At 46.0% G+C, this 27,644-nt stretch overlaps 1 protein-coding gene and 1 pseudogene across 2 annotated transcripts, besides 3 other annotated features; both read right to left on the reverse strand.

Moving 5' to 3' along the window:
• Nucleotides 1-422: 422 nt before the first annotated feature.
• COQ5 (coenzyme Q5, methyltransferase) lies at nt 423-26,302 on the reverse strand. 2 transcript variants are annotated; one of them, XM_006719639.3, is made up of 8 exons: nt 26,084-26,302; nt 23,601-23,690; nt 19,358-19,507; nt 13,711-13,932; nt 7,161-7,267; nt 2,039-2,127; nt 1,114-1,225; nt 423-1,029 (listed from the first exon to the last, which is right to left on the reverse strand). In XM_006719639.3, the coding sequence occupies exons 3-8, from the start codon at nt 19,464-19,466 to the stop codon at nt 928-930; spliced, it is 741 nt and encodes a 246-aa protein (XP_006719702.1). In that variant the 5' UTR covers nt 19,467-19,507; nt 23,601-23,690; nt 26,084-26,302; the 3' UTR covers nt 423-927. The 2 variants fall into 2 exon arrangements, with proteins under 2 accessions (XP_006719702.1, NP_115690.3); NM_032314.4 differs by lacking the exon at nt 23,601-23,690.
• On the reverse strand, nt 19,691-20,595 carry RPL29P24 (ribosomal protein L29 pseudogene 24; annotated as a pseudogene).
• Nucleotides 25,292-26,062: an enhancer, noted in NCBI's record as "H3K27ac hESC enhancer chr12:120965951-120966721 (GRCh37/hg19 assembly coordinates)". NCBI's record gives its function as "activates a minimal SCP1, AML or CMV promoter by ChIP-STARR-seq in naive H9 embryonic stem cells {active_cell/tissue: H9 hESC(naive)}" and the evidence as "EXISTENCE:reporter gene assay evidence [ECO:0000049][PMID:30033119]".
• Nucleotides 26,063-26,832: an enhancer, noted in NCBI's record as "H3K27ac hESC enhancer chr12:120966722-120967491 (GRCh37/hg19 assembly coordinates)". NCBI's record gives its function as "activates a minimal SCP1, AML or CMV promoter by ChIP-STARR-seq in primed H9 embryonic stem cells {active_cell/tissue: H9 hESC(primed)}" and the evidence as "EXISTENCE:reporter gene assay evidence [ECO:0000049][PMID:30033119]".
• Nucleotides 26,179-26,638: an enhancer, noted in NCBI's record as "active region_7145". NCBI's record gives its function as "activates an Ori minimal core promoter by ATAC-STARR-seq in GM12878 lymphoblastoid cells {active_cell/tissue: GM12878}" and the evidence as "EXISTENCE:reporter gene assay evidence [ECO:0000049][PMID:35858748]".

The following is a 27,644-nucleotide window of genomic DNA, read 5'->3' on the forward strand; positions in this document are numbered from 1 at the left end:
TGGCCAGGCTGGTCTCAAACTCCTGACCTCGTGATCCACCTGCCTCGGCCTACGTAAGTGCTGGGATTACAGGCGTGAGCCACTGCACCCAACCTACATAGTAGCTTTTTATGGAAGAGGACTGAAAGAATGATGAAAAATATATTTTCTGGCCAGGCGCGGCCAACATGGTAAAATCCCTTATCTACTAAAAATACAAAAAAATTAGCCGGGCGTGGTGGCGCGCACCTGTAATCCCAGCTACTTGGGAGGCTGAGGCAGGAGAACTGCTTGAACCCACAAGGTGGAGGTTACGGTGAGCAGAGATTGCACCACTGCACTCCAGCCTGGGTGACAGAGGAAAACTCCATCTCGAAAAAAAAAAAAAAGTAAAAGAAAAATATATTTTCCTTACCCCCTTCAAGAAAAAATGACAAGTACCATCAAAAGGTAAACTCGTTTACTGGTTCAGCACACAATTCTCATGATCATTAATACTCTGACTTGGGCCTAGACTTCGTCCTAGGCTGAAAGGTTGATTCAGGTACAATTAAATTTTCTGGTTAAAAATTGTCATTGGGTTCAAATGATCTATCATCCCTCTAGAAGGCAGCACCAGCAGAGAAGCTATAAATACACTCACTTCAAAACTGAGCTTTAGGGGTGGTTGTACCTTAACCACACACCCTACAGCCAAGAGAAATTAGCAGTTGAGCAAAGATACAGACCAAATGCCTCTGGGAGATGGACTGAAGCAGCTCCAAAGAAAGCTGTAAAAAAGTGACAAGAATTTGTTCTTCCACTTTGAGACTGTTCGATTCAAACATGAGTCCAAGGCACGTATCCTTAAGAGGAGATGCTCTGCTGCTGTCTCATTTGCCAGATTATCCTTCAGTTCCAGGCTTTCAACAGGATATGACTGGTTCATGCTCCATGATAGGAAAGGAATTAAAGTTTGAAGCCAGAATGAATGGCCACAATGCCTGATGTTAGACTTTCGTAAGTCACCTTGTGAAAGCCTGCATCTTCTATCATGTCCTTGAACTCTTCCTGAAACACAAGGAAAGATGATAAAGCCAGGGTAGCCTGGATATCACTGTAGGGCCTTTGTTTAAAGCTATAGAAGTTTCATACCTGAGACGGAAACCTTCGGATACTCTCTACAAGGTACTGATAGGACTTCCAGTCTCCAGCGATGACCTCTCCCAGGACAGGGATGACCTGGAAGCTATATAGATCATAAAGCCTAGGCAAACAAAAAGGTAAAAGATGAAGATTAGAACATGCCCCTCACTTCTTCCCTAGATAAGAAGAAAGAAGGACTAAACCTGGGGTCACAAACTCAAATGCCTATAGGGATCAAGCAAGAACCTGAATTAAGTGGGTCAGGTACAAGACCAGTAGAAGTGCTGACAGGTACAGTTAGGAAGTATTATGAAGTGGAGAAGGGACAGTTACTACTCAGACCTCCCTGTGGCATGTGGGGAGATAGGCCTACCCAGGGCTGCCATGTATCTGATTTCTCAAGTGAAGCTGGAAATTCAGATTTTTATGGAAAATTTCCTGATTTAAATTTTTTTTTTTTTTTTTTTTTTTTAGAGATAGGGTCTCACGGTTGCCCAGGCTGGTCTTGAACTCCTGGCCTCAAGTGATCCTCCCGCCTCAGCCTCCCAAAGTGCTGGGATTACAAGCATGAGCCACTGCACTTGGCCCAAATTTCCTGATTTTTTTTTTTTTAAGCCAGTCAAATTTATCAGAGGGGGGTTGAGTAGCAACGTTATTGCCACTAATAAGTTCTGATAACCCACTACCATTGGACCAGGCATTTCCTGATTTTTAAATAGGGGCTTCTAAGTCAATTTCTTAATATACATATGTAAGCCAACTTGGGTCTGGTTTGAGACTCTTGTGGCCTAGGTATTGTCATTCAGAACTGGCTGACCTCTGGTACTCTGAACTACAAAGTTCATGCTTATAGCTTACTGGCTATTTTCAATCCATTTCGGGGTGGGAAACCTTGGCTATACAATGAAGATAAAGCCCTATTAACAATGCCAACCTGGATATGAGGGGATTGTTCACTTGGCTAAATTCCAGACAGAGAAACCGTCCTCCTGGTTTCAGCACCCGATGAGCTTCCTGGAGTGCCTGAGCAAGACAAGGAACAACAGGACACACTCCTCAGTAGACCTCACTCAATTCCATGAGGCCAAGACAGCTTTAGCTTCTGCAGGCATTAAAAAAGTTATCATGGCCCACAAACCTCTTGTTTGTTCTCACTTGGGAAGCTGTAACAGCAGCAATAACCCTACGTATCCCAAATGCTATAGGCATTCTGCTGCCGGTGACTAGACAAAGTTAGCTGGGGTAATCTAAACTGACTACAGATTGGTACAATTGCATGAAGGGTAAGTTTAGAGTTACCTTTCAAAATCACAATGGATATCCTCTCTGATAAAGCAATTTTACTTCAAGGAATCTAGCTTACAGAAATGCTTCTACTGTGGGAATGACATGTACGTGGGTTATTCACTTTTTTTTTTATTTTTTATTTTTTATTTTTATTTTTTGCAATGGAGCCTTGCTCTGTCGCCCAGACTGGAGTGCAGTGGTGTGATCTCAGCTCACTGCAACCGCTGCCTCCCAGGTTCAAGCGATTCTCCTGCCTCAGCTTCCTGAGTAGCTGAACTACAGGTGCCTGCCACCACGCCCCGCTAATTTTTTGTTTGTTTGTTTTTGAGGTGGAATTTTGCTCTTGTTGCCCAGGCTGGAGTGCAATGGCATGATCTCGGCTCACCACAACCTCCACCTCTCAGGTTGAAGCGATTTTCCTGCCTCAGCCTCCCGAGTAGCTAGGATTACAGGCACGTACCACCACACCCGGCTAATTTTGTATTTTTAGTAGAGACGGGGTTTCTCCACATTGGTCAGGCTTGTCTCGAACTCCCAATATCAGGTGGTCTGCCAGCCTCGGCCTCCCAAAGTGCTGGGATTACAGGTGTGAGCCACCGCACCCAGCCTATTTGTTTGTTTTTTTGAGACAGAGTTTCGCTCTTGTTGCCCAGGCTAGAGTGCAATGGCATGATCTCAGCTCACTGCAACCTCCACCTCCCGGGTTCAAGTGATTCTCTTGCCTCAGACTCCCAGGTAGCTGGGATTACAGGAATGCACCACCACACCCAACTAATTTTGTGTTTTTAGTAGAAAAAGGGTTTCACCATGTTGGCCAGGCCAGTCTTGAACTCCTGGCCTGAAGTGATCCACTCGTCTCGGCCTCACAAGGTGCTAGGATTACAGGTGTGAGCCACCATGCCTGGCCGGTTATTCACTTTTAAATAAAAAGTATAGGAAGCCATTGTTTTGGATTGTTTCTGCACTAGGTTCCAACAGACCAGACTAAGAATCAAGATGGAGTCACCCAACTTTTGACTCCATAGTTCCACATCACCAAACTGAAACTAAGTTGTCAGCTGACCTTCTAGAGAGATCAGGAGAAAGAGATACAGTCAATTTCTCCAACACTCCTGTTTAAAATTTTTTTTTTTTTTTTAGACAGAGTCTCGCTCTGTCACCCAGTCTGGAGTGCAGTGGCACGATCTCAGCTCACTGCAACCTCTGCCTCCTAGGTTCAAGTGATTCTCCTGCCTCAGCCTCCCATGTTGCTGGGACTACAGGTACATGCCACCACACCCGGCTAATTTTTGCATTTTTAGTAGAGATGGAGTTTCGCCATGTTGGCCAGGCTGGTCTTGAACTAGAGACTTCAGGTGATCCTTCCACCTTGGCCTCCCAAAGTGCTAGGATTACAGACTTGGGCCACCACGCCCAGCCTATTTTTTTTATTATTCTGCCTCCCTATCACAGCCTTTCAAGAAAAGTAGTTTTGAAAGGATGAATAATACACTCTTTGTTCTTTGCTTCTCTGCTTTCTTCAGTCTTTCTGTGTCTATAAAGCCAATGTCTTCTGCTCAACTCATTGGGATGCATTCTATTTTTATTTATTTTTTTATTTTTTTGAGATGGAGTCTTGCTCTGTCGCCCAGGCTGGAGGGCAGTGGCACAATCTCGGCTCACTGCAACTTCCACCTCCCGGGTTCAAGCAATTCTCCTGTCTCAGCCTCCCAAGTAGCTGGGATTACAGATGCCCGCCACCATGCCTGGCTAATTTTTGTATTTTTAGTATAGACAGGGTTTCACCATGTTGGCCAGGCTGGTCTCAAACTCCTGACCTCAAGTGATCTGCCCGCCTCGGCCTCCCGAAGTGCTGGGATTACAGGCGTGAGCTACTGTGCCCAGCACATTCTATTTTATGAAATGAAGTCATTTTAAAATTTGCTGTTCAAACAGTTGTCAAAAGACAAGTGTTTGAATAGCACAAGATTAGAAGCATCTTTAACGATTAATAAGAGACTAAATTATGAAATATAAATATAAATGGAATCTATTCAACTTATTTTTTTTTTTTTTGAGACGGAGTCTCGTTCTGTCGCCCAGGCTGGAGTGCAGTGGTGTGATCTCAACTCACCACAACCTCTGCCTCCCGGGTTCAAGCGATTCTTCTCCCTCAGCCTCCCAAGTATCTGGGACTATAGGCACGCGCCACCACGCCCAGCTAATTTTTGTATTTTTAGTAGAGACGGGGTTTTCACCATGTTGGTCAGGCTGGTCTCGAACTCCTGACCTCATGATCCACCCGCCTCGGCCTCCCAAAGTGCTGGGATTACAGGTGTGAGCCACCACGCCCGGCCTCTATTCAACTATTTTAAAAAGTGCCAGGTGCAGTGGCTCACGCCTGTAATCCCAGCACTTTGGGAGGCCGAGGTGGGTGGATCACCTGAGGTTGGGAGTTTGAGACCAGCCTGACCAACATGGAGAAACTCCGTCTCTACTAAAAATACAAAATTAGTCGGGCATGGTGGTGCATGCCTATAACCCCAGCTACTTGGGAGGCTGAGGCAGAAGAATCACTTGAACCCAGGAGGCGGAGGTTTCAGTGAGCCCAGATCTCTCCACTGCACTCTAGCCTGGGTGACAGAGTGAGACTCTGTCTCAAAAAATAATAATAATAATAAAATAAAAAAATAAAAAGAGCCAGTGCTCTTTATGTACTTACAAGGAAAAATCTCCAAGAAATATTTGTTTACTTTTATTCTATCCATCTATCTATTTATTTATTTTTGAGGTGGAGTCTCACTCTGTCGCCCAGGCGGAGTGCAGTGGTGTGATCTCGGCTCACTGCAGCCTCCGCCTCCTGGGTTCAAGGGATTTTCCCAACTCAGCCTCCCAAGTAGCTGGGACTACAGGTTCGTGCCGCCACGCCCAGCTAATTTTTGTATTTTTAGTAGAGACGGGGTTTCACCATGTTGGCCAGGATGGTCTTGATCTCCTGACCTCGTGATCTGCCCACCTCGGCCTCCTAAAGAGTTGGGAGGCCAGCCTGGAGGCCTCCAAAGAGTTCAAGACCAGCTGAGGTTGAACTCTCAACTGGCTGCAGTGAGCTGAGATCACGTTACTGTACTCCAGCCTGGGTGACAGAGTGAGAGTCCGTCTCCAAACAAAAAAAAAGGAAAAAGAAAGAAAATAGTATATACACCTTGGCACAAAACATCACAAACACTTGTCTAAGGTTAGTCAGTAAACAAATGATCGAATCCATGCAAAAATTACAAATAAGGATGTCACAAAGTTGTGCTACATGCAAAACATAGGAAAAAAAAGAAATATCAATTGGTTATTAGTTATGTGAATCATAACCAATTCACAAAACATCTTGACAAAGATACACAAGAAGCTGGTGACTGTCTGAAGGGAGAAGCACTGAATGGGAGAGGAGGCAAGGATGGGAGGGAGATTGTCACATATAACCTTTTGTGCCTTTTGAACTTTGAACCTATTAAAAAATTTTTTTCCCCAGGCGTGGTGGCTCACGACTGTAATCCCAGCACTTTGGGAGGCCAAGGCGGGAGGATCATGAGGTCAAGAGACAGAGACCATCCTGGCCAACATAGTGAAATGCCGTCTCTACTGATAAATACAAAAATTAGCTGGGCGTGGTGGCACACGCCTGTAGTCCCAGCTACTCCGGAGGCTGACGCAGGAGAATTGCTTGAACCCAGGAGACAGAGGTTGTAGTGAGCCAAGATCGCGCCACTGCACTCCAGCCTGGCAACAGAGCGAGACTCTGTCTCAAAAAAAAAAAAAAAAAGTTTTCATTCAACAAAATAATAAACTGGCTACTGACATAGGAAAGGTGATGCAAACCAAGCTGATGAACACCATAAAGAACTTACCACTTAACCAGAGGACCCAGGCAACCAGAGACCATGTTACTGAAATGAAACTCTTTGCCTTGCACATGGTCTTCAAGTGTTTTGAACAGAATATTAAAGTAGGAATAAAGGCCAGGCATGGTGGCTCAGGCCTGTAATCCCAGCATTTTGGGAGGCTGAGGTGGGAGGATCACTTGAGCTCAGGGGTTCGAGATCAACCTGGGCAACATGGCAAAACCCCATCTCTACAAAAAATAAAGTAGGAACAAAGAAGAGCTCCATCAGATTAAGAGCTGAACGTTCCCCTTTTCCTGTAGAAAAGCCATGAATCCAGCTATCTTTTGTCAAAACAGTGTTTGAGGGCCCTTGTCTTTGTCAGCCTCTGACATGTCTCTGATTTTCTGCAAATTCACAGGGTCAGGCAGCTTCACAAGTATGAGGAAATACACAAAAGGCCAGAGCAAGACAAATCCCAAAGATGTGAATACCAATCCAAGTAAGACAGACTTCTATGGAGATCAGCTCTGTGGTTTCAGTCTTTTTCAATTTTGTGACTAGAAAATTTGTCAACTTAAAGGATGGAGGACCCTAAACTTCAAACAGGCATTCCACTCAAGCGCCAAGCCCTTAAACATTATCTTTTTTAAGATTAAAAAAAAAATCTATCTATCTCTCTCTCTCTCTCTCTCCCTGGGTGTGGTGGTGGGTTCCTGTAAGGTTCCTGTAATCCCAGCTACTTGGGAGGCAGATGTGGAAGGACTGCTTGAGCCCAGGAGTTTGAGACTAGCCTGGGCAACATACCAAGACCCCATCTCAAAAAACAAAACTCTCCTTCTTTCCTCACTCACTGTAGCTCTACAACAGAGGTAATTTCCTGAGAGTCATACAAGCTGAGGATGCAGCCATTCATACCTGATCAATGTGTGTGACATTCCGGATCCCAAAGGCAATGGTGTAAATATCAAACTTGTCATCATCAAAGGGCAGTTCTTCAGCATCTCCTAATACCCATGCAAGTCCTGAAAGAGAAAGTGAGTTCCGGGTCTCAGTGTGGGTAGCTGTTTTTCCTGCCCCCAGTGAATTCATTTCATGTAGAGCATTGAGCTGGAGAGCCCAAGTCCTGGGTGGTTAGGCTGCCTGGATTCTAATCCCAGCTTCACCATATTCCTTATATATACATATTTTTCCTTTTATATTTTTAATCAATCATTATTATTTTTTTTAGACATGGGGAGGTCTTGCTTTCTCACCCAGGCTGGAGTACAGTGGCACACAGCTCACTGCATCCTCAAACTCCTGGACTCAAAGGATCCTCCTGCCTTAGTATCCCCAGTAGTTGGGACTATAGGCACACACCACCCTGCCCAGCTAGTTTTTAAAAATTTCTTCTGTAGAGACGAGGTCTCGTCATCTTGCCCAGGCTGGTCTCAAACTCCTGGGCTCAAGCAATCCTCCCGCCTCGGCCTCCCAAAGTGCTGGAATTACAGATGTGAGCCACTGTGCCTGGCCTGTGTATTCTTGAATAAACTACTTTGTCTGTTTCCTCATCTGTAAAATGGAGTTAAAAACTAGTGCCTACTCTATAGGGTTACTAAAAGTATTAACTGAGTTACTCTAAGTACAGAATTTAGCAGAGTTTTACTGGTTTTATTGGAATCATAGAGCATCAGCGTGTCTAGGTCTGAGATTCAGAGATCACCAGAGGCCCCTATCAGGGTGGCTGTGTCCTCCAAGGATCTTGATTAGACTTTAACATTATACAACCTACAGCGAATTAGATGTAAAATACAAAAAGAAGACTGTATAGAGGAAGGTAAATGAAAATAACCTTTCTGGAAAGCAAATTAACAGTATCTAACAAGGGCCTTAAAAATAAGTACACCTGGCCAGGTGCGGTGGCTCACGCCTGAAATCCCAGCATTTTGGGAAGCTGAGGGAGGCAGATCACGAGGTCAGGAGATCGAAACATGGTGAAACCCCGTCTCTACTAAAAATACAAAAAATTAGCCGGGCGTGGTGGCATGCACCTGTAGTCCCAGCTACTGGGGAGGCTGAGGCAGGAGAATTGCTTGAATTCGGGAGGTGGAGGTTGCAGTGAGCTGAGATCGCGCCACTGCACTCCAGCCTGGGTGACAGAGCGAGACTCTGTCTCAAAAAAAAAAAAAAAAGAAAGTATGCCTTTTGACCCAGTGATTTGATTTTTAGGGAAAGGACATTGACATCATCATCACAGCTACTGCTTAGAGGGCCCTTATCAAGTGGCAGGGTCTGTGTTATTTTATGTACATCTTTAGATAGATTATCTTAGTATATCCTCATACCAACTCTGTGAGAGAGTTACTACCATTATCCTCATGTTTCAGGTCAGCAAAGTGAACATCAGAAAGGTTTAAAGTCTGAGCTGAGCACGGTGGCATGCACCTGTAATCCCAGAGACTCAGGAGGCTGAGGTGGGAGGAGAGCTTGAGCCCAGGAGTTCAAGACCAGCCTGGGTAACACAGCAAGACCATATCTCGAAAAAATAAAAAGCAAAAAGAGAAAGGTTGCTTGCCCAAGGTCACACAGATGGACTGGAACCCAGAGCCTATGTTTTCAACAGCTATGGCATATCACCTCCTAGTACGAAGTAGTTATTAGAGTTTAAACACTTGACTAAGGTTATACAGTCAGTAAACGAATGAATCCATGCAAAAATTACAAATAAGAATGTCACAAAGTTGTGCTACATGCAAAACATTGGGGAAAAAAAGAATTCTCAATTGGTTATTGGTTATATGAATCATGAAACATCCATATGGAAGAATAGCATAAAAAATAATGATTTTGGCCGGGTGTGGTGGCTCACGCCTGTAATCCCAGCACTTTGGGAGGCCGAGGCGGGCAGATCATGAGGTCAGGAGTTCAAGACCATCCGGGCTAACACGGTGAAACCCCATCTCTACTAAAAATACAAAAATTAGCCAGACGTGGTGGTGGGTGCCTGTAGTTCCAGCTAATCAGGAGGCTGAGGCAGGAGAATGGTGTGAACCTGGGAGGTGGAGCTTGCAGTGAGCCGAGATCATGCCACCGCACTCCAGCCTGGGTGACAGAACGAGACTCCGTCTCAAAAATAAAATAAAATAAAATAAAATAAAAATAATGATTTCAAGGAATTTCTAATGACTTGGAGAAATCTTTTGATACCATAGTAAATTAAAGCAGGATTACTAAATTGTAGGACGGGCGCGGTGGCTCATGCCTGTAACCCCAGCACTTTGGAAGGCTGAGGCAGGTGGATCACGAGGTCAAGAGTTCGAGACCAGCCTGGCCAAGATGGTGAAACCCCCTCTCTACTAAAAATATAAAAATTAGCTGGGCTTGGTGGAGGGTGCCTGTAATCCCAGCTACTTGGGAGGCTGAGGCAGGGGAATCGCTTGAACCGGGAGGCGGAGGTTGCAGTGAGCTGAGATCGTACCACTGCACTCCAGCCTGGGTGACAAAGCAGGACTCTGTCTCAAAAATAAATACATAAATAAACAAACAAATAAATAAATAAATTGTATATATAGGATGTTCTCAACTTTATAAAAAGGGAATAATTAGGAAAAAGGAAGGAAACATTACCATATTGAGGGGCAACTCTGAATGTTGGAATTATGGTTAACATTTACTTTCTTCTTAATACTTTTCCAGGCCAGGTGCGATAGCCCACACCTGCAATCCCAGCACTTTGGGAGGCTGAAGAGGGCAGACCACTTGAGGCCAAGAGTTTGAGAGTAGCCTGGCCAACATGGCAAAACCCTATCTCTAATAAAAATACAAAAATTAGCCAGGCATGGTGGCATACACCTATAATCCTAGCTACTCACCTGCCTGATTTTTTTTTTTGTATTTTTAGTAGAGACAGGGTTTCGCCATGTTGGCCAGGCTATTCTCGAACTCCTGACCTGAGGTGATCCACCTGCCTCGGCCTCCCAAAGTGCTGGGATTACAGGTGTGAGCCACAGCACCCAGCCAAATATGTATATATTTTAAAGCTCCTGCCCCTAAGATCTTCCATTTGGGAAGGAAAGTGCTACATAAAAAATATAAATAAAACACATAACCATGCTATACATTAAAAAAAAAAGTAGTTAAGGGCCAGGTGCAGTGGCTCACACCTGTAATCCCAGCACTTTGGGAGGCCGAGGCGGGCGGATCACAAGGTCAGGAGATCGAGACCATCCTGGCTAACACAGAGAAACCCCATCTCTACTAAAAATACAAAAATTAGCCGGGCGTGGCGGCATGTGCCTGTAGTCCCAGCTGCTGCGGAGGCTGAGGCAAGAGAATGGCGTGAACCCGGGAGGCGGAGCTTGCAGTGAGCCGAGATTGCGCCACTGCACTCCAGCCTGGGCGACAGAGCGAGACTCCGTCTCAAAAAAAAAAAAAAAAGTAGTTAAGTTACACATTAACTTTTTTTTTTTTTTTGAGACAGAGCCTTGCTCTGTCACCCAGTCTGTAGTGTAGTGGTGCGACGTCCACCTCCTGGGTTCAAGAGATTCTCGTGCCTCAGCCTCCTGAGTAGCTGGGATTACAGGCGCGCACCACCACGCCTGGCTAATTTTTGTATTTTTAGTAGAGACAGGGTTTCACCATGTTGACCAGGCTGGTCTCAAACTTTTGACCTCAGGTGATCTGCCTGCCTCAGCCTCCCAAAGTGCTGGGATTACAGGTATAAGCTACTGCGCCCGACCACACATTAACTTTTATATTTATTAAATAATTTCTAGGGTCCTCCTACTTAGTTTCTACTTTTCATGATGTTTTTGCAAAGGTATGATTATTGGAGATTGATAAAACAAGGAGGAAAGATAAATCTGTACTATGGGGCACTTAATAATTCCTACACAGATGCATTTGTCTTGGTGCTTAGGAGAGCTCGACGGGCAGGCTATGCAATGGAAGAGATGATTCCAGAAATGGAACACTGCTTATCATTTCAATATCTTTGTTTTCCGTTCTTTATGGCTGAGTACCAGAGAGAAGGGAAACATGTTTGTCAGTAGGAGTAAGGAAACATAGTGCCTTTGTCTAAAAACACTAGCGACTGTCCGCCTTCTGACCAGTATTGATGGTTAACAAAGGAGCCCTTCAGCTTGGGGGCCAAGTGGGCTGCAGCTCGTCTAGGCAGCTCCTTCTGGGGGTGGGAGGAGGAAGAGGAGGAAGATTTGAGCTAAAATAACCATAGACACTCATGGTGGGGGAGGAGAAGGAGAGAAATGCTGATGTTGACCTGAGGGACGTTCTTTGTTATATACCACTGCCCCTCACAGTGGCCATCTGTGGTCCCTGGCCAGCATGGAAGAGGGCAGAATAGCGGCTCTGAAAAGCTGGGCTGGGCGCAGTGGCTCACACCTATAATCCCAACACTTTGGGAGGAATGGGTGGACAGATCACATGAGACCAGGAGTTCGAGACCAGCCTGGCCAACATAGTGAAACCCCGTCTCTACTAAAAATACAAAAAAATTAGCCGGGTATGGTGCTGCGCAGCTGTAATCCCAGCTACTCGGGAGGCTGAGGCACAAGAATTGCTTGAACCCGGGAGGCAGAGGTTGTAGTGACCCGAGATCGCTCCACTGTACTCCATCCTGGGCAACAGGGCAAGACTCTGTCTCAGAAACAACAACAACAACAACAACAACAACAACAACAACAAAAACTGGGCCAACAGGGTGCAGTTGCCAGGACGGAGTTTCTCTCTTGTTGCCTAGGCTGGAGTGCAATGGCACCATCTTGGTTCACCACAACCTCCACCTTCCAGGTTCAAGCAATTCTCCTGCCTCAGCCTTCAAATAGCTGGGATTACAGGCATGTGTCACCACACCCAGCTAATTTTGTATTTTTAGTAGAGACAGGGTTTCTCCATATTGGTCAGGCTGGTCTCGAACTCCAGACCTCAGGGGATCCACCCCCCCTCGGCCTCCCAAAGTGCTGAGATTACAGGCGTGAGCCACCACGCCTGGCCAAATTTGCTTTTTTTTTGAGACAGGGTCTTACTCTGTTGCCCAGGCTGGAGTGCAGTGGCATGATCATGGCTCACTGCAGTCTCGACCTCCTGGATTCAAGTGATCCTCCTGCTTCAGCCTCCCAAGTAGCTGTTACTACAGGTGTGTACCACCACACTTGGCTAACTTAAATTTTTTGTAGAGACAGAGTCTCACTATGTTGCCTAGGCTGGTCTTGAACTCCTGGCTTCAAGCGATCCTTCACCCTCAGCGTTCCAAAGTGCTGGGATTACAGGCATGAGCCACCTCGCTGCCACAATTTACATTTTTAAGCTAGCACACAAATCATCCATTTTGAGCTTGCAGTAATCTCACAGAGATAGGCATGCAGTCATCTGCCTATCTGCTGTTCGTATTTACCACAGTGGGGAAGTGTGAGGAGTACTGTTCACGAGTGTTTCTTTGAGTGTATCAGATGGGTCCTCTGAGAAACATGCTGAGATGGACCAAGGAGTATAATAATTTTTTGTGTGTGTGGCAGGGGAAACACAGAGTAGACAAAGGGAGAGGAAGAAAGACTGAGCAAGAAAAGCCTTTAGACCTTAATGCAGATCTGACAAAGGCTCAGCCTACCCAATAGGGACCTCCAGAACAAAGGCTGGCTGTTAAAGAGTCTTGCTTGGAAAATATCCAGGCCCTAGTAGTCCCACAGTGTTCAGCCATTGGCTACGAGCTGCCACAAAAGAGCCTGGCCTCCCTTGGAAACTGAGGCAGAGGCTGATGTGCTAATAGGTGGAGGCTGCTAGCTAACTGCACTCCTTGTGGCTGAAGGGCAAGTTATTTCTTTTTTTATTGTTTAAGTTTCTTTAGAGACAGGGTCTCACTCTGTCACTCAGGCTGGAGTGCAGAGGTGCAATCATAGCTCACTGCAGCCTGGAACTCTTGGGCTCAAGTAATCCTCCTATTGTGGCCTCCCAAAGTTCTGAGATTATAGGTGTGAGCCATGGGCTCAGCCAGAAGTTCTTTCTTTACAGGAGATGAGAGGTCCAGTTGCACAGCAATCAAACTATCCTAGTATGGACAGGAGAATGGAATGGTTCAAGAATGGGAATGATACACCGAAGTCACCCTGAAGCTGCTGGGAAATGACAGCAAAACTTCTGTCTCAGGGTCTCAGAGCTGAGATCTGAAGATTCAACTCCAATTTGGGATCTGCCACTGAGAAGTTGTGTGACTTGGGTAAGATTCTTGACTTACTTGGGATCTAGTGATCCCAGTCACATAGGGCTGGGTAAGCTCACTCAATGGGCTGCTATGCATACATAATGCATATAACAGCACACAAACTAGATTCAGCCATGCAAATCATCTTCAACCTGCCCATCTATAAGTTTCTGAAAGCCAAAAGATAAAGCATTTCAATATTTTACATATTCCACCTTATTCTATAAAGATACAAATACTTCCCCTGTGTCTGCCTTCTGCAGGACTCACCAGCTCTGTATCCTTGAGCCAAGGCTTTCTGCTTTCCAACCTTTAGCATCTCCTTGTTGATGTCACACACCACGACACGAGACCCGCCCAAGGAATCTTCTTCATTCTGGTACTCTTTGGCAATTTCTTCCCAGGATAAATTTTGTTGGGCCCTTAACTGCCTCTTCTGTTTTCTCTGATGCTGGGACTGAACATAATTAAGGAACCGGAATGCAATGTCACCTGTGGGAAGCCAACATGAGGAAAGATGCAGACTAAAACAAAAATAAAAAAGGAAGAAACAGCATTTCCTAAAACCCAAAGGGGTAACAGAGGCACAGGAGTACCTGTGTTAGCTAACTGGATGCAGTGTGGCTGAAAGCCAAGTCCTTTCTTCTTTTTGTTAGAGACAGGGACTCACTCCATCACCCTAGCTGGAGTGCAGAGGCACAATCATAGCTGAGTGTGTGAACGTGGAAGTTTCTACTCATTTCAACACTAACTTTTTTTTTTAATTAAAGAAATTGGGCTGGGCTCATGCCTGCAATCTCAGCACTTTGGGAGGCTGAGACTGGGGGATCACCTGAGGTCAGGAGTCTGAGACCAGCCTGGCCAACATGGTGAAACCCCGTCTCTACATTTTTAAAAATACAAAAATTAGCCAGGTGTGGTGGCAGGCGCCTGTTATCCCAGCTACTTGGGAGCCTGCGGCAGGAGAATAGCTTAAACCTGGGAAACAGATGTTGCAGTGGGCCGAGATAGCGCCATTGCACTCCAGCCTGAGTGACAAAAGCGAAACTCCGTCTCAAAAATAAATAAATAAATAAATAAAATAAAAACTGAGGCCGGGCGCGGTGGCTCATGCCTGTAATCCCAGCACTTCGGGAGGCCGAGGCGGTTGGATCACGAGGTCAGGAGATCGAGACCATCTTGGCTAACATGATGAAACCCCGTCTCTACTAAAAAAATACAAAAAAAAAAAAAAAATTAGCCAGGCGTGGTGGTGGGTGCCTGTAGTCCCAGCTACTCAGGAGGCTGAGGCAGGAGAATGGCATGAACCCAGGAGGCAGAGCTTGCAGTGAGCCAAGATCGCGCCACTGCACTCCAGCCTGGGCGACAGAGCAAGACTACATCTCAAAAAAAAAAACCAAATCAAGTGTTTATAATACTGTGACCTGGTAAATATTGTTCAGGACAAATCCAGTGCTTTGTAGAATCCTATTTCCTTTCTTTTTTCCTCTCTTTTCTATATTTCCTTTTCTTTCTTTCTTTTTTTTTGAGATGGAGTTTCTGCTCTTGTTGCCCAGGCTGGAGTGCAATGGCGCGATCTGAGCTCACTGCAACCTCTGCCTCCCAGGTTCAAGTGATTCTCCTGCCTCAGCCTCCCAAGTGGCTGGGATCACAGGCATGTGCCACCAAACCTGGCTAATTTTGTATTTTTAGTAGAGATAGGGTTTCATCATGTTGGTCAGGCTGGTCTCGAACTCTTGACCTCAGGTGATCCACTCGCCTCGGCCTCCCAAAGTGCTGGGATTACAGGCATGAGCCATTGCGCCTGGCCCTATATTTCCTTTCTTATAATGCTGTTTCCGGCTGGGCTCGGTGGCTCACGCCTGTGATCCCAGCACTTCAGGCTTCAGGAGGCTGAGGTAGGCAGATTGCTTGAGCCCAGAGGTTTGAGACCAGCCTGGGTAACATGGTGAAACTCAGTCTCTACGAAAAAAATTACAAAAATTAGCCAGGTGTGGGGCACATGCCTGTATTCCTAGCTATTTGGGAGGCTGAGATGGGAAGATTACTTGAGGCCTGGGGGGTGGAGGTTGCAGTAAGCCGAGATGACGCCACTACACTCCAGCCTGGCGAAAGTGCAAGACCGTTTCCAAAAAAAAAAAAAAAAAAAAGCTGTTTCCTTGTCTTTGTTTTTCCTACACTATTTCCAAGAAATATATCCTTGTTTCTCCCATATGTCCAACCAATTAGGTATTCTCCAGTCATTCTCCAGTCATTTTTTATTTTATATCTTTTTTTTTTTTTCCCTGAGACGGAGGCTCGCTCTATTCCCAGGCTAGAGTGCAGTAGCACGATCTCAGCTCACTGCAACCTCCGCTTCCCAGGTTAAAGCAATTCTCCTGCCTCAGCCTCCTGAGTAGCTGGGATTACAGGCGTGTGCTACCACGCCCAGCTAATTTTTGTATTTTTAGTAGAGACAGGGTTTCACCACATTGGTCAGGCTGGTCTCAGACTCCTGACCTCGTGATCCACACGCCTCAGCCTCCCAAATGCTGGGATTACAGGCGTGAGCCAACGTGCTCGGCCATATATTTCAATATATTAATTATTTTGTGCATCTTCTCTGTATCATTCCAAATTTAGTATATGCGCTACTGAAGTGAGCACGATATTTCAATATATTTATAGGTATGCATATAACAACATTTAAAAACATAAACAGGGATATTGTATACATTGTTATACCACGTGTTTTCTTATTCTTCCCACTTAATATGTCCTTGCAACCTTTCCATCATTACTTGTAAGTTTTCCTTATTGTTTTAAATAGATAAACAATATTTCATAGACTGGATATGCCTTAATTTAAAGCCATGTCCTTATTGGGAAGAAATAGGTTATTTCCAATTTTTAATTACTATTAAATGTGATGCAATGAGCGTATATGTGACTAAATCTTTGTGGAAGTTTTTCTTTAGGCGACATAGAATTGAAAATGTGAGGCCAGGCGGAGTGGGTCAGGCCTGTAATCTCAACACTTTGGGAGGCCAAGGTGGGCGGATCACCTTAGGTCAGGAATTTGAGGCCAGCCTGGCCAATATAGTAAAACCTTGCCTATACTAAAAATACACAAAATCAGCCAGGCATGATGATGGGCGCCTGTAATCCCAGCTACTTGGGAGGCCAAGGCATGAGAATCACTTTAACCCAGGAGGCGGAGGTTGCAGTGTGCCGAGATCATGCCATTGCACTCCAGCCGGGGCAACAGAGCAAGACTCCATCTCAAAAAAAAAAGAATTGAAAATGTGGGATCCGCCAGGCGTGATGGCTCATGCCTATAATCCCAGCACTTTGGGAGGCTGAGGTGGGTGTATCACCTGAGGCTGGGAGTTCAAGACCAGCCTGACCAACATGGAGAAACTCCGTCTCTACTAAAAATACAAAATTAGCTGGGTGTGGTGGCACATGCCTGTAGTCCCAGCTACTTAGGAGGCCGAGGCAGGAAAATCGCTTGAACCTAGGAGGCAGAGGTTGCGGTGAGCCGAAATTGTGCCATTGCACTTCAGCCTGGGCAACAAGAACGAGACTTGGACTCAAAAAAAAAAAAAAAAAAAAAGTGGGATCCTAGGCTTATATGCATTTTAGATTTTGGTAGATTCTGCTAAATTACCCTCTACAGAGCAAGGTGTCTTCTTGCCCTCTGAGCTTCCATTTGGGGAGAGGATCACACCAACATAGCTACAGATAAATATGTTTCAAGTATAGAGATTATTCTATTGTAATTTATCATTATACATTACTCTATCGTTACTAATTATCAAATTATTACATTATATATTATTCTAATGTAATTTTATGTATTTATTTATTATTATTATTATTTTTTGAGACAGAGTCTTGCTCTGCAGCCCAGGCTGGAGAGCAATGGCACAATCTCGGCTCACTGCAACCTCTGCCTCCTGGGTTCCAGTGATTCTCCTGCCTCAGCCTCCTGAGTAGCTGGAATTACAGACGCCCGCCACCTTGCCGGCTATTTTTATTTTATTTTATTTTTAATTTTTTTTTTTTGAGACAGAGTCTCGCTCTGTTGCCCAGGCTGGAGTGTGGTGGCTTGATCTCGGCTCACTGCAACCTCGGCCTCCTGGGTTCAAGCAATTCTCTTGCCTCAGCCTCCTGAGTAGCTGTGATTACAGGCGCATGCCACCACAACCGACCAATTTTTGTATTTTTAGTAGAGACAGGGTTTCACCATGTTGGCCAGGATGGTTTCGATCTCTTGACCTCATGATCCGACCGCCTCGGGCTCCCAAAGTGCTGGGATTACAGGCATGAGCCACCACACCCCGCCATCGCCCAGCTGAATTTTTGTATTTTTAGTAGAGACGGGGTTTCACCATGTTGGCCAGACTGGTCTTGAACTCCTAACCTCAGGTGATCCTCCCAAAGTGCTACGATTATAGGCGTGAGCCACCACGCCCAGCCTCTAATGTAATTTAACATGTACGATGACATCACCAAGACGCATTGTGTAAAATCATGACATTTTTCTCTCCAAATGCTCAGTGTACAAGAAGTAACAAAGGACTGTGCACAAACTTTTGATATTTGATGTGATAGCAAATCAAGCAGAAAAGGCAGCCTCAAAAACTTATATAAAGTGATAAAAGGCTTCTCTCATCCCCTAAAAAAGAAGAAAAGGGGGTTAAAGGTTAAGCAGAAGATAAAACAGTCATTTAGATGGTGAAATGTCACTGGTCAAAAATTTGACTTTTTCCTTTGTAATCCTGCGTTTTTTTTTTTTTTTTTTTGAGACGGAATCTTGCTCTGTTGCCCAGGCTGGAGTGTAATGGTACGATCTCAGCTCACTGCAACCCTCCACCTCCCCAGTTCAAGCAATTCTCCTGCCTCAGCCTCCCAAGTAGCTGGGATTACAGGCACCAGCTACCACACTGGCTTTTTTTTTGTATTTTTAGTAGAGATGGGTTTTCACCATGTTGGCCAGTCTGGTCTTGAACTCCTGACCTTAGGCAATCCACCCACCGTGGCCACCCAAAGTGCTGGGAGTACAGGTGTGAGCCGCTGCGGCCAGCCAATCTGTGTATTTTAGAAATGTGACAGGCAGCTGGGCACAGTGGCTCACTCCTGTAATCCCAGCACCTTGGGAGGCCGAGGCGGGTGTATCATGAGGTCAGGAGTTCAAGACCAGCCAGGCCAAGATGGTGGAACCCTGTCTCTACTAACAATACAAAAATTAGCCAGGCGTGGTGGTGCATGCCTATAATCCCAGCTACTCAGGAGGCTGAGGCAGAGAATTGCTTGAACCCCGGAGGTGGAGGTTGCAGTGGAGCCGAGATTGCACCGCTGCTGCACTGCAGTCTGGGAGACAGAGCAAGACTCCATCTCCAAAAAAAAAAAAAAAAAGGAAATGTGACAGGCAGACAGGCACCGGCCAGGTTCATGCCTGTAATCCCAGCACTTTGGGAGGCCGAGGCAGGCAGACTGCCTGAACTCAGGAGTTCGAGACCAGCCTGGGAAACACAGTGAAACCCCGTCTCTACTAAAATACAAAATATTAGCTGGGCATGGTGGAGTACGCCCGTAGTCCCAGCTACTCAGGAGGCTGAGGCAGGAGAATTGCTTGAACCTGGGAGGCAGAGGTTGCAATGAGCTGAGATTGAGACACTGCATGCCAGCCTGGGCGACAGAGTGAGACTCCTATCTCAAAAAAAAAAAAGTGACAGGCACAAAACTGTTATTCTATGCTTTTGATTGATATTCAGTCAAAAAGATAAGTGCGTGCCTTTCTCAGAAGTTATAAGTATGCAGATTTTCAATCACCATCTTCCGCCTCGTGTTAGGTGAGCTAGCTCATTACAAGAGAGACTAATTTCTGTAAAACATGCTCAATGGTAGTGAAGGATACCAAACTCGACATTACCTGTGCCTCCAGCAACATCAAGCAGCTGGGTCCCAGGAAGCGGGTGCATCTTCCAGAGCAGCAAATCCTTCCAAACACGATGGATACCAAGACTCATCATATCATTCATCACATCATACTTCTTAGCCACACTTTCAAACACCTGATAGACTGACATGGGAGAAACACACACAATAGTGCTATTAACAGAATTCCCTTAGAAAAATCCTAAACAAAAAAGGAGGAAGCTTTTTTCCCCTGAAATGACCTGGCTTTGCAAGGTGAAACTAAGTCGTAATGCTTGATGCCCAAATCTACACCTTAACATTACCTCTTTATTGATTTATTTTTTTTTCCTGCCTCAGATTTATTTGTACAAATAGCACAGGAGGACCCCAGCCCCATGCAGATGGCAGTCCAGGGGGGTCACACCAGTCCTTCTGTCCTCACATTGGCAGACAGAGATATCTACTCTGAAGCCTTCGTAGGTGTCCGGGCACCTTTGGGAGCCTAAGCTGGAGCTGCAGCCTGGGCCTTGGTTTGATCTTTGGCCTTGGCCTTTGACCGACATAGCTTGAGCCCCTTGGCAATGCAGGAATGAGCACATTTCCCAAGCCTGGGGGTGGGCAATGTAGGCAAGTGGATCGAGCTTGCGGCTGACACCCTTTGGGATCTCGGGCTTAACCTCCTTGGGCTTTACAAGGGCCTTGATAGCGTCAGCACGTGCACTCGTGGCCCTGGCACTGTTGGCCTGCATCTTTTTTAGGCCTTTCTTGTTGTGCTTCTTGGCAAAGCGCATGTTCCTCAGGAACTTGGGGTCCACTCCCTTAAGAGATTCTTATAAAAAAAAAAGAGATTCTTATCGGCCAGGCGCGGTGGCTCATGCCTGTAATCCCAGCACTTTGGGAGGCTGAGGCGGGCGGATCACGAGGTCAGGAGATCGAGACCATCCTGGCTAACATGGTGAAACCCCGTCTCTACTAAAAATACAAAAAATTAGCCGGCATGGTGGTGGGCGCCTGTGGTCCCAGCTACTCGGGAGGCTGAGGCAGGAGAATGGCGTGAACCTGGGAGGTGGAGCTTGCAGTGAGCCGAGATGGCGCCACTGCACTCCCGCCTGGGCCACAGAGCGAGACTCCGTCTCAAAGAAAAAAAAATAGGATTCATATCTTTGTGATCGGGGTTTCTTGATACCATTTCTGTGCCATTTCGGGACTGGCTGTGTGTGGTGTGGTTCTTAGACTTGGCCATGTCTGCACTGGTCCTCTCCACAGCCTGCTCCCCGCTGCTGCTCCTAAGTCGTGGATGGCATCACATTACCTCTTTAATAAGAGGCTTAAATGTACTTCATGGAAGAAATCAACCTCTTTTCTGCTGTCTTAATTATTATTACTTAGGACTACTACTTTGTAAAAATGCCATCCATATACCTGGTACTAAATAGATGTTTCTGTTTCTTAAAGGATAGGGTGGGGGAAATTGGAATTTTTCTCATGGTTATTATAATAAAAGACAAGATCCATTAGAAGTATGCATACAGGGCACGGTGGCTCTTGCCTGTAATCCTAGCACTTTGGGAGTCCAAGGGGGGTGGTTCACTCGAGGCCAGGAGTTCAAGGCTAGCCTGGCCAACATGGCAAAACCCTGTCTCTAGTAAAAACACAAAAATTAGCTGGGCATGGTTGTGCACACCTGTAATCCCAGCTACTCGGGTGGTTGGGGCAGGAGAATCACTGGAACCTGGAAGGTAGAGGTTGCAGTGAGCTGAAATTGGACCACTGCATTCCAGCCTGGGCGACAGAGAGAGACTCTGTTTCAAAATAAAGATGAAAGATGCATGATTAATGGAAGGAAAGACCTCGGCTCATGTCTGCCTGTATCACTGAGAAGAACCTCAGGTACAATTTGGTGGGCACCTAGATGCCAAGCTGTGAATCAGGGCTAAGTCACAATTTAGAGGGCTCTCATGAGTCTTCTCCATAGGATCAACACAGACTGTGGAATCTGGGATAGCTAAAGAGAGAAAGAGTCTACTATCCAAGACTCTCAGAAGTGTTTCCCTTTAAAGTTACATTTTTTTTTTTTTGAGACGGAGTCTCGCTCTGTCGCCCAGGCTGCAGTGCAGTGGCGCGATCTCGGCTCACTGCAAGCTCTGCCTCCCGGGTTCACGCCATTCTCCTGCCTCAGCCTCCCAAGTAGCTGGGACTACAGGCACTCGCCACCACGCCCAGCTAATTTTTTGTATTTTTAGTAGAGACGGGGTTTCACCATGCTAGCCAGGATGGTCTCGATCTCCTGACCTCGTGATCCGCCCGCCTCGGCCTCCCAAAGTGCTAGGATTATAGGCGTGAGCCACCACGCCCGGCCTTAAAGTTACATTTAACTGTTTTTCACCTCAGTTTCTCTGCCCGTAAGACGGCTATATCAGTGCCAGCTCCCTATCTCCCTGCCAGAAGGCTGAATTGGATAATGAAGAGGAGATGCTTTGAGTTCCTCAGATGAAATGTGCTACACAGATTGAAAACATGACTCTCTTCTGCTGAATCAGACTACAGAGCCCGCCTTTAACTCAAACTTCAACGCCTATTCTCAACCTTCGGATTTCCAAGTGCGCTCTTTCCTTTTTTTTTTTTAAATTTTTTTTGGGACGGAGTCTTGCTCTGTCACCCAGGCTGGAGTGCAGTGGCGTGATCTTGGCTCACTGTAACCTCCGCCTCCCGGCAATTCTCCTGGCTCAGCCTCCCAAGTAGCTGGGACTACAGGCACGTGCCACCATGCCCAGCTAATCTGTTGTATTTTTAGTAGAGATGGGGTTTCACTGCTAGCCAGGATAGTCTCGATCTCCTAACCTCAGATCTGCCCGCCTTGGCTTCCCAAAGTGTTAGGATCACAGGTGTGAGCCACCGTGCCCGGACTTTTGTTTTTGAGACGGCGTCTAGCTCTGTCGCCCAGGCTGGGGTACAGTGGCGCAATCTCGGCTCACTGCAACCTCCTCCTTCTAGGTTCAAGTGATTCTCCTGCCTCAGCCTCCCGAATAGCTACGATTACAGGCACTTGCCACCATGCCTGGCTAATTTTTGTATTTTTAGTAGAGATGGGGTTTCACCATGTTGGCCAGCTGGTCTCAAACTCCTGACCTCATGATCTGCCCACCTCAGCCTCCCAAAGTACTGGGATTACAGGCGTGAGCCACCACGCCCAGCCTGCTCTTTTGAGCATCTTTTGGGGTGTCTGGGGGACACTAAGGCTAACCCCACTCGGTATAAATAGTCCTCCTTGCTGGCATGGTGGCACACACCTGGAGTGCCAGCTACTCGGGGGGCTAATGGGAGAGGACTGCTTGAACCCAGGAGTTCAAGGCTGCAGTGTGCTATGATTGTGCCTGTGAATAGACATTGTACCCCAGCCTGGGCAGCATAGTGAGAACTTGTCTCAAAAATAAATAAACAAGGCTGGGCGCAGTGGCTCATGCCTATAATCCCAGAACTTTGGGAGGCTGAGGCGGGGGGATCACGAGGTCCAGAGATCGAGACCATCCTAGCTAACACAGTGAAACTCCATCTCTACTAAAAATACAAAAAAACTAGCTGGGCGTGGTGGTGGGCGCCTGTAGTCCCAGCTACTCGGGAGGCTGAGGCAGGAGAATGGCATGAACCTGGGAGGCGGAGCTTACAGTGAGCTGAGATCGTGCCACCGCACTCCAGCCTGGGCGACAGAGCGAGACTCCATCTCCAAAAAAATAAATATAAATAAATAAATAAATAAGCAAATAGTCCTGGCTTTGCATGTTCCAATATGCATGAATTTCAGTTACTGTGGTTTAGCTAAACAACACCAGTCACCCAATACCACAATTCAAGTACAATGGTATATTAAATATGAGTAATTACATAAAATACATTCTTTAGCCTACAAATCACTATGTAAATAACAGATACACAACATGTTCAGCAACCAATCACGCACTTCTTTCCCAGACTTTAGGTGACTGGTCACTGCATCAGTTACTCAGTTCACAGACAGTAAAGCATGTACTTGTATTGCCTCTTTATCTTTCAGTGATAAAGCACACGTGGCATAACTGGATAAATGAAAGAGGGAATTGAGCAACAAAAATGAAAATGCTGATAATGCTGGAAGTGAAATTCAAATTGAGTGTCAGTGGAGTTATAGGAGAAATAGATGACTGTGGGAATATTGACACTGCTGCCACTGGAGAGACTCTAGACATACAGCCAGAGGAACTGCAGGAAGATGAACTTACCAACATGAACAAGAAATGGAGCTGTGACAAAAAGGTTGAAGATGTCCCAGAAGAAGTGATGCCAGCAAAAACTTTCACATTAAAGGAGTTCTTGGAGGTATTTCATAACATTGAAAGCACAAAGGATAAAATATCAGAAGTAGATAAAAACTTAGAAAGAAATATGGCAATTTGCCAAGGCATAGAAAAGATATTTCATACGACAAGAAGGTGGCAAATAGTGCTCAAACTACTCTTGGCAATTTTTTTTTTTTTTTTTTTTTTTTTTTTTTTTTTGAGACAGAGTCTTGCTCTGTCGCCCAGGCTGGAGTGTAGTGGCAGGATCTCGGCTCACTGCAAGCTCCTCCTCCCGGGTTCATGCCATTCTCCTGCCTCAGCCTCCGGAGTAGCTGGGACTACAGGCGCCCGCCACCATGCCCGGCTAATTTTTTTGTATTTTTAGTAGAGACGGAGTTTCACCGTGTTAGCCAGGATGGTCTCAATCTCCTGACCTCATGATCCACCCGCCTCGGCCTCTCAAAGTGCTGGGATTACAGGCGTGAGCCACTGCGCCCAGCCTACTCTTGGCAATTTTTTTACAAGGAAATAAAAGAATTTAATTCTCAAGGTTTCTAATTTTTTATTAGAATTTTTTTTCTTTGTTTTTGAGACAGTCTCACTGTGTCGCCCAGGCTAGAGTGCAGTGGCACAATCTCAGATCACTGCAACGTCCACCTCCCAGGTTCAAGAAATTTGCCTGCCTCAGCCTCCTAATTAGCTGTGATTACAGGCGTGCGTCACCATGCTTGGCTAATTTTTTTTGTATTTTTAGTAGAGATGAGGTTTCACCACGTTGGCCAGGCTGGTCTCGAACTCCTGACTTCAAGTGCCTACCTCGGCCTCCCAAAGTGCTGGGATTACAGGTGTGAACCATCGCACCTGGCTGTAAATAAATATCAACTTCAGTATATATTTTTTCATTTCACTATACATTTATAACTGACAGGGTTTTTGATGGTTGATAATTTTTAAAGGTCATAAAACAATTCTAATTTTTCCCATTGATTAAGGTCATTGTGTATGACTTCAGCTTGCACATTTTCACAGTCTTGCATTACTGTGCACAGCGAGGACTGTCTGTACTGCAATCTCAGTCCCCAATCTGGAATTCATATTTAGTTCAGTAGTTAACTTCTTCCTTGCTTGCCACTGTGTGAAATGTTGATTATACATTGATTATACATTGTAAAATGTTGATTATACATTGGCCGGTGTGGTGGCTCATGCCTGTAATCCCAGCACTTTGGGAGGCCGAGGCAGGTGGATCACGAGGTCAGGAGATCCAGACCATCCTGGCTAACATGGTGAAACCCTGTCTGTACTAAAAAAAAAATACAAAAAATTAGCCGGGCATGGTGGCGGGCCCCTGTAGTCCCAGCTACTCGGGAGGCTGAGGCAGGAGAATGGCGTGAAGCCAGGAGGCGGAGCTTGCAGTGAGCCGAGATCGCGCCACTGCCTTCCAGCCTGGGGGTGACAGAGAGAGACTCAGTCTCAAAAAAAAAAAAAAAAAAAAAAAAAAAAAAAAAAGAAACCCCGTCTCTACTGAAAATACAAAAATTAGCAGGGCACAGTGGCAGATGCCTGTAATCCCAGCTACTCAGGAGGCTGAGGCAGGAGGATCGCTTGAACCTAGGAGGCTGAGGTTGCAGTGAGCCCATATTGCGCCATTGCACTCCAGCCTGGGCAACAAGAGCGAAACTCCGTCTCAAAATAAATAAATAAATAAATAAATAAATAAAAACAACCAAAAAAACCCCTATTTTTCTCTAGAGGTAAAGAACGGGGGCTTCAGACTCAGATTAAACTGGGTTTGAATACTGGTTCCGCCACTTACTGATATGTTCAACTGGGCAACTTCTTGCTTAACCTTTAAGTCTCAATTTCCTCACGTGTAATATGGTAATAACAATACCCACTACTGGAATGTTGAAAATGAGAATTGAAAATAATGTCTGTACGTTGCCTGGCACATCACAAACGCTCAGTTGATGGGATTTAGTCATCAGTATTCTGCTTTTAAAAAGGGGGCGTCTGGCTGGGCGCGGTGGCTCACGCCTGTAATCCCAGCACTTTGGGAGGCCGAGGCAGGCGAATCACCTGAGGTCAGGAGTTCGAGACCAGCCTGGTGAAACCCCATCTCTAGTAAGAATACAAAAAAGTTAGCCGGGCGTGCTGGCGGGCGCCTGTAATCCCAGCTACTCGGGAAGCTGAGGCAGGAGAATCGCTTGAACCCGGGAGGCGGAGGTTGCAGTGAGCCAAGATCGGACCATTGCACTCCAGTGTGGGCAACAAGAGCGAAATTCTGTCTCCAAAAAAAAAAAAAATCATAACTGCACAGACAACAACACTGGAACTAATTGGATGTTAAATCAACCCTAACTGGCCAGAAGAAACCAGACCATGGACGGTCAGATCCCTCCCATCCGCCCTCTCGCCCCTTTCACCTTTGCCCCCCTTCTCCTCTTCCGACACAGTCTCAAACCCAAAGTGCGTTTCCGCTGCCCGCTTCTCTTGGGACAAGAGCCGAGCACTTAGTAGGTCCCCGGGCCAAGAGCTACGAAGCCCGAGGAGCTGGCAGCCCCGCATCGCCCGCGACCACCCACGGCCGCAATAGCTCCATAGAGCACAGCTCCCGGGGGCCGCCATCTTGGTAGTCGAGTGACAACGGCCAGAGAGTACGCCTTGTTGCGTCACTCCACGAACGACGGCGGCTGGCCGGCAACATTATTAGCCGAACGCGCCCTGAAATCTGATACACAGTTGTGCCGGCATTATCTCTAGGATCCAAAGGGTGGTCTCTAAGTATCGGAAATCCCTTCCTCTCTCTCTTCTCAAATTGAATTTACAATTCACCAGGAATCAGGGGATCTCAGGGGAGCCCCGGGTCACCTCTTAGCGGCCATGTCTCTGAATCCGGCTAGGCAGAAAAGTACTAACTCGCAAGATATCCAGGAACTCTTGTTGTCTTGTGCAGAAGGGGGAAATTGAGGCATGGTGTGGTTAAAAAGCCAAGATCACGGGCCAATTCCTGCACACTTTGTTGAGCGTAAGAATCACTTGGTTTACGTTTTAAAATGAAGATTCCTGGGTCCCCAACTACCAGAGATTTTGATCTGACCTATATCCCTTTAATCTCTATTTAAACAAATTTCTCTGGCGATTCTGATGCTAAAGATGCAGACCATTCTTGAGAAACATATGTTACACTACTCTGAAAAATAAACATAGGACAGACTTCTTTGTTCTGTCCGTTTTATGAACCTAGGAAGCTCATAAATGGGAACGAAAGCTCTGGTATCCACTTAGCAAGCCAGAACCACCACTCACACTTGGTCTCCTGCTGACACAAAGCTACATTCCTAGCTCCAGGTGGCATGTCATGGGTGTTTTACTTCAGCCCCAGATTTTCAGTCTTTTTTTAATGGCAAGGGTAATGCAGACCGTCTTGTGCAAAATAAAGAACGGACGTTGTTGAGTTTTGCTTGGATTACTGTATGTTTCTGCTTTCATTCCATTTTAAATGTATGTTTCCTGTAAATATTTCACGAGGAGAAAGCGCCAATAGAAGAAACTGTTTTGAAATGAAAATTCTCTTCCTGGTTTAATATAGCCTGACAGATGGACACCTAACCGCTTTCGTTTGGGAAGTACTGCGCTGGGATTTCTGTTTCTTTCTCTTTTATTTTAAGAATGATAGAAGGTCCTCGTTGGTATAGTGATGAGAAAAAAAAAAGGAAGGATACAAGGGCGAAATGATTCATCCATGTATTCATAATTCTCATGTCTTTGTTAAAAGAAATTAAGTGGCTGGGTGCGGTGGCTCACGCCTGTAATCCCAACACTTTGGGAGCCCGAGGTGGGCGGATTGCATGAGGTCAGGAGTTCGAGACCAGCATGGCTAACATGGTGAAACCCCGTCTCTACTAAAATACAAAAATCAGCCAGGCATGGTGGTGCACACCTGTAGTCCCAGCTATTCAGGAGGTTGAAGCAGGAGAATCCCTT

This window comes from Homo sapiens, chromosome 12, assembly GCF_000001405.40.
Source record: "Homo sapiens chromosome 12, GRCh38.p14 Primary Assembly".
In the NCBI taxonomy this organism is placed as follows: Eukaryota; Metazoa; Chordata; class Mammalia; order Primates; family Hominidae; genus Homo; species Homo sapiens.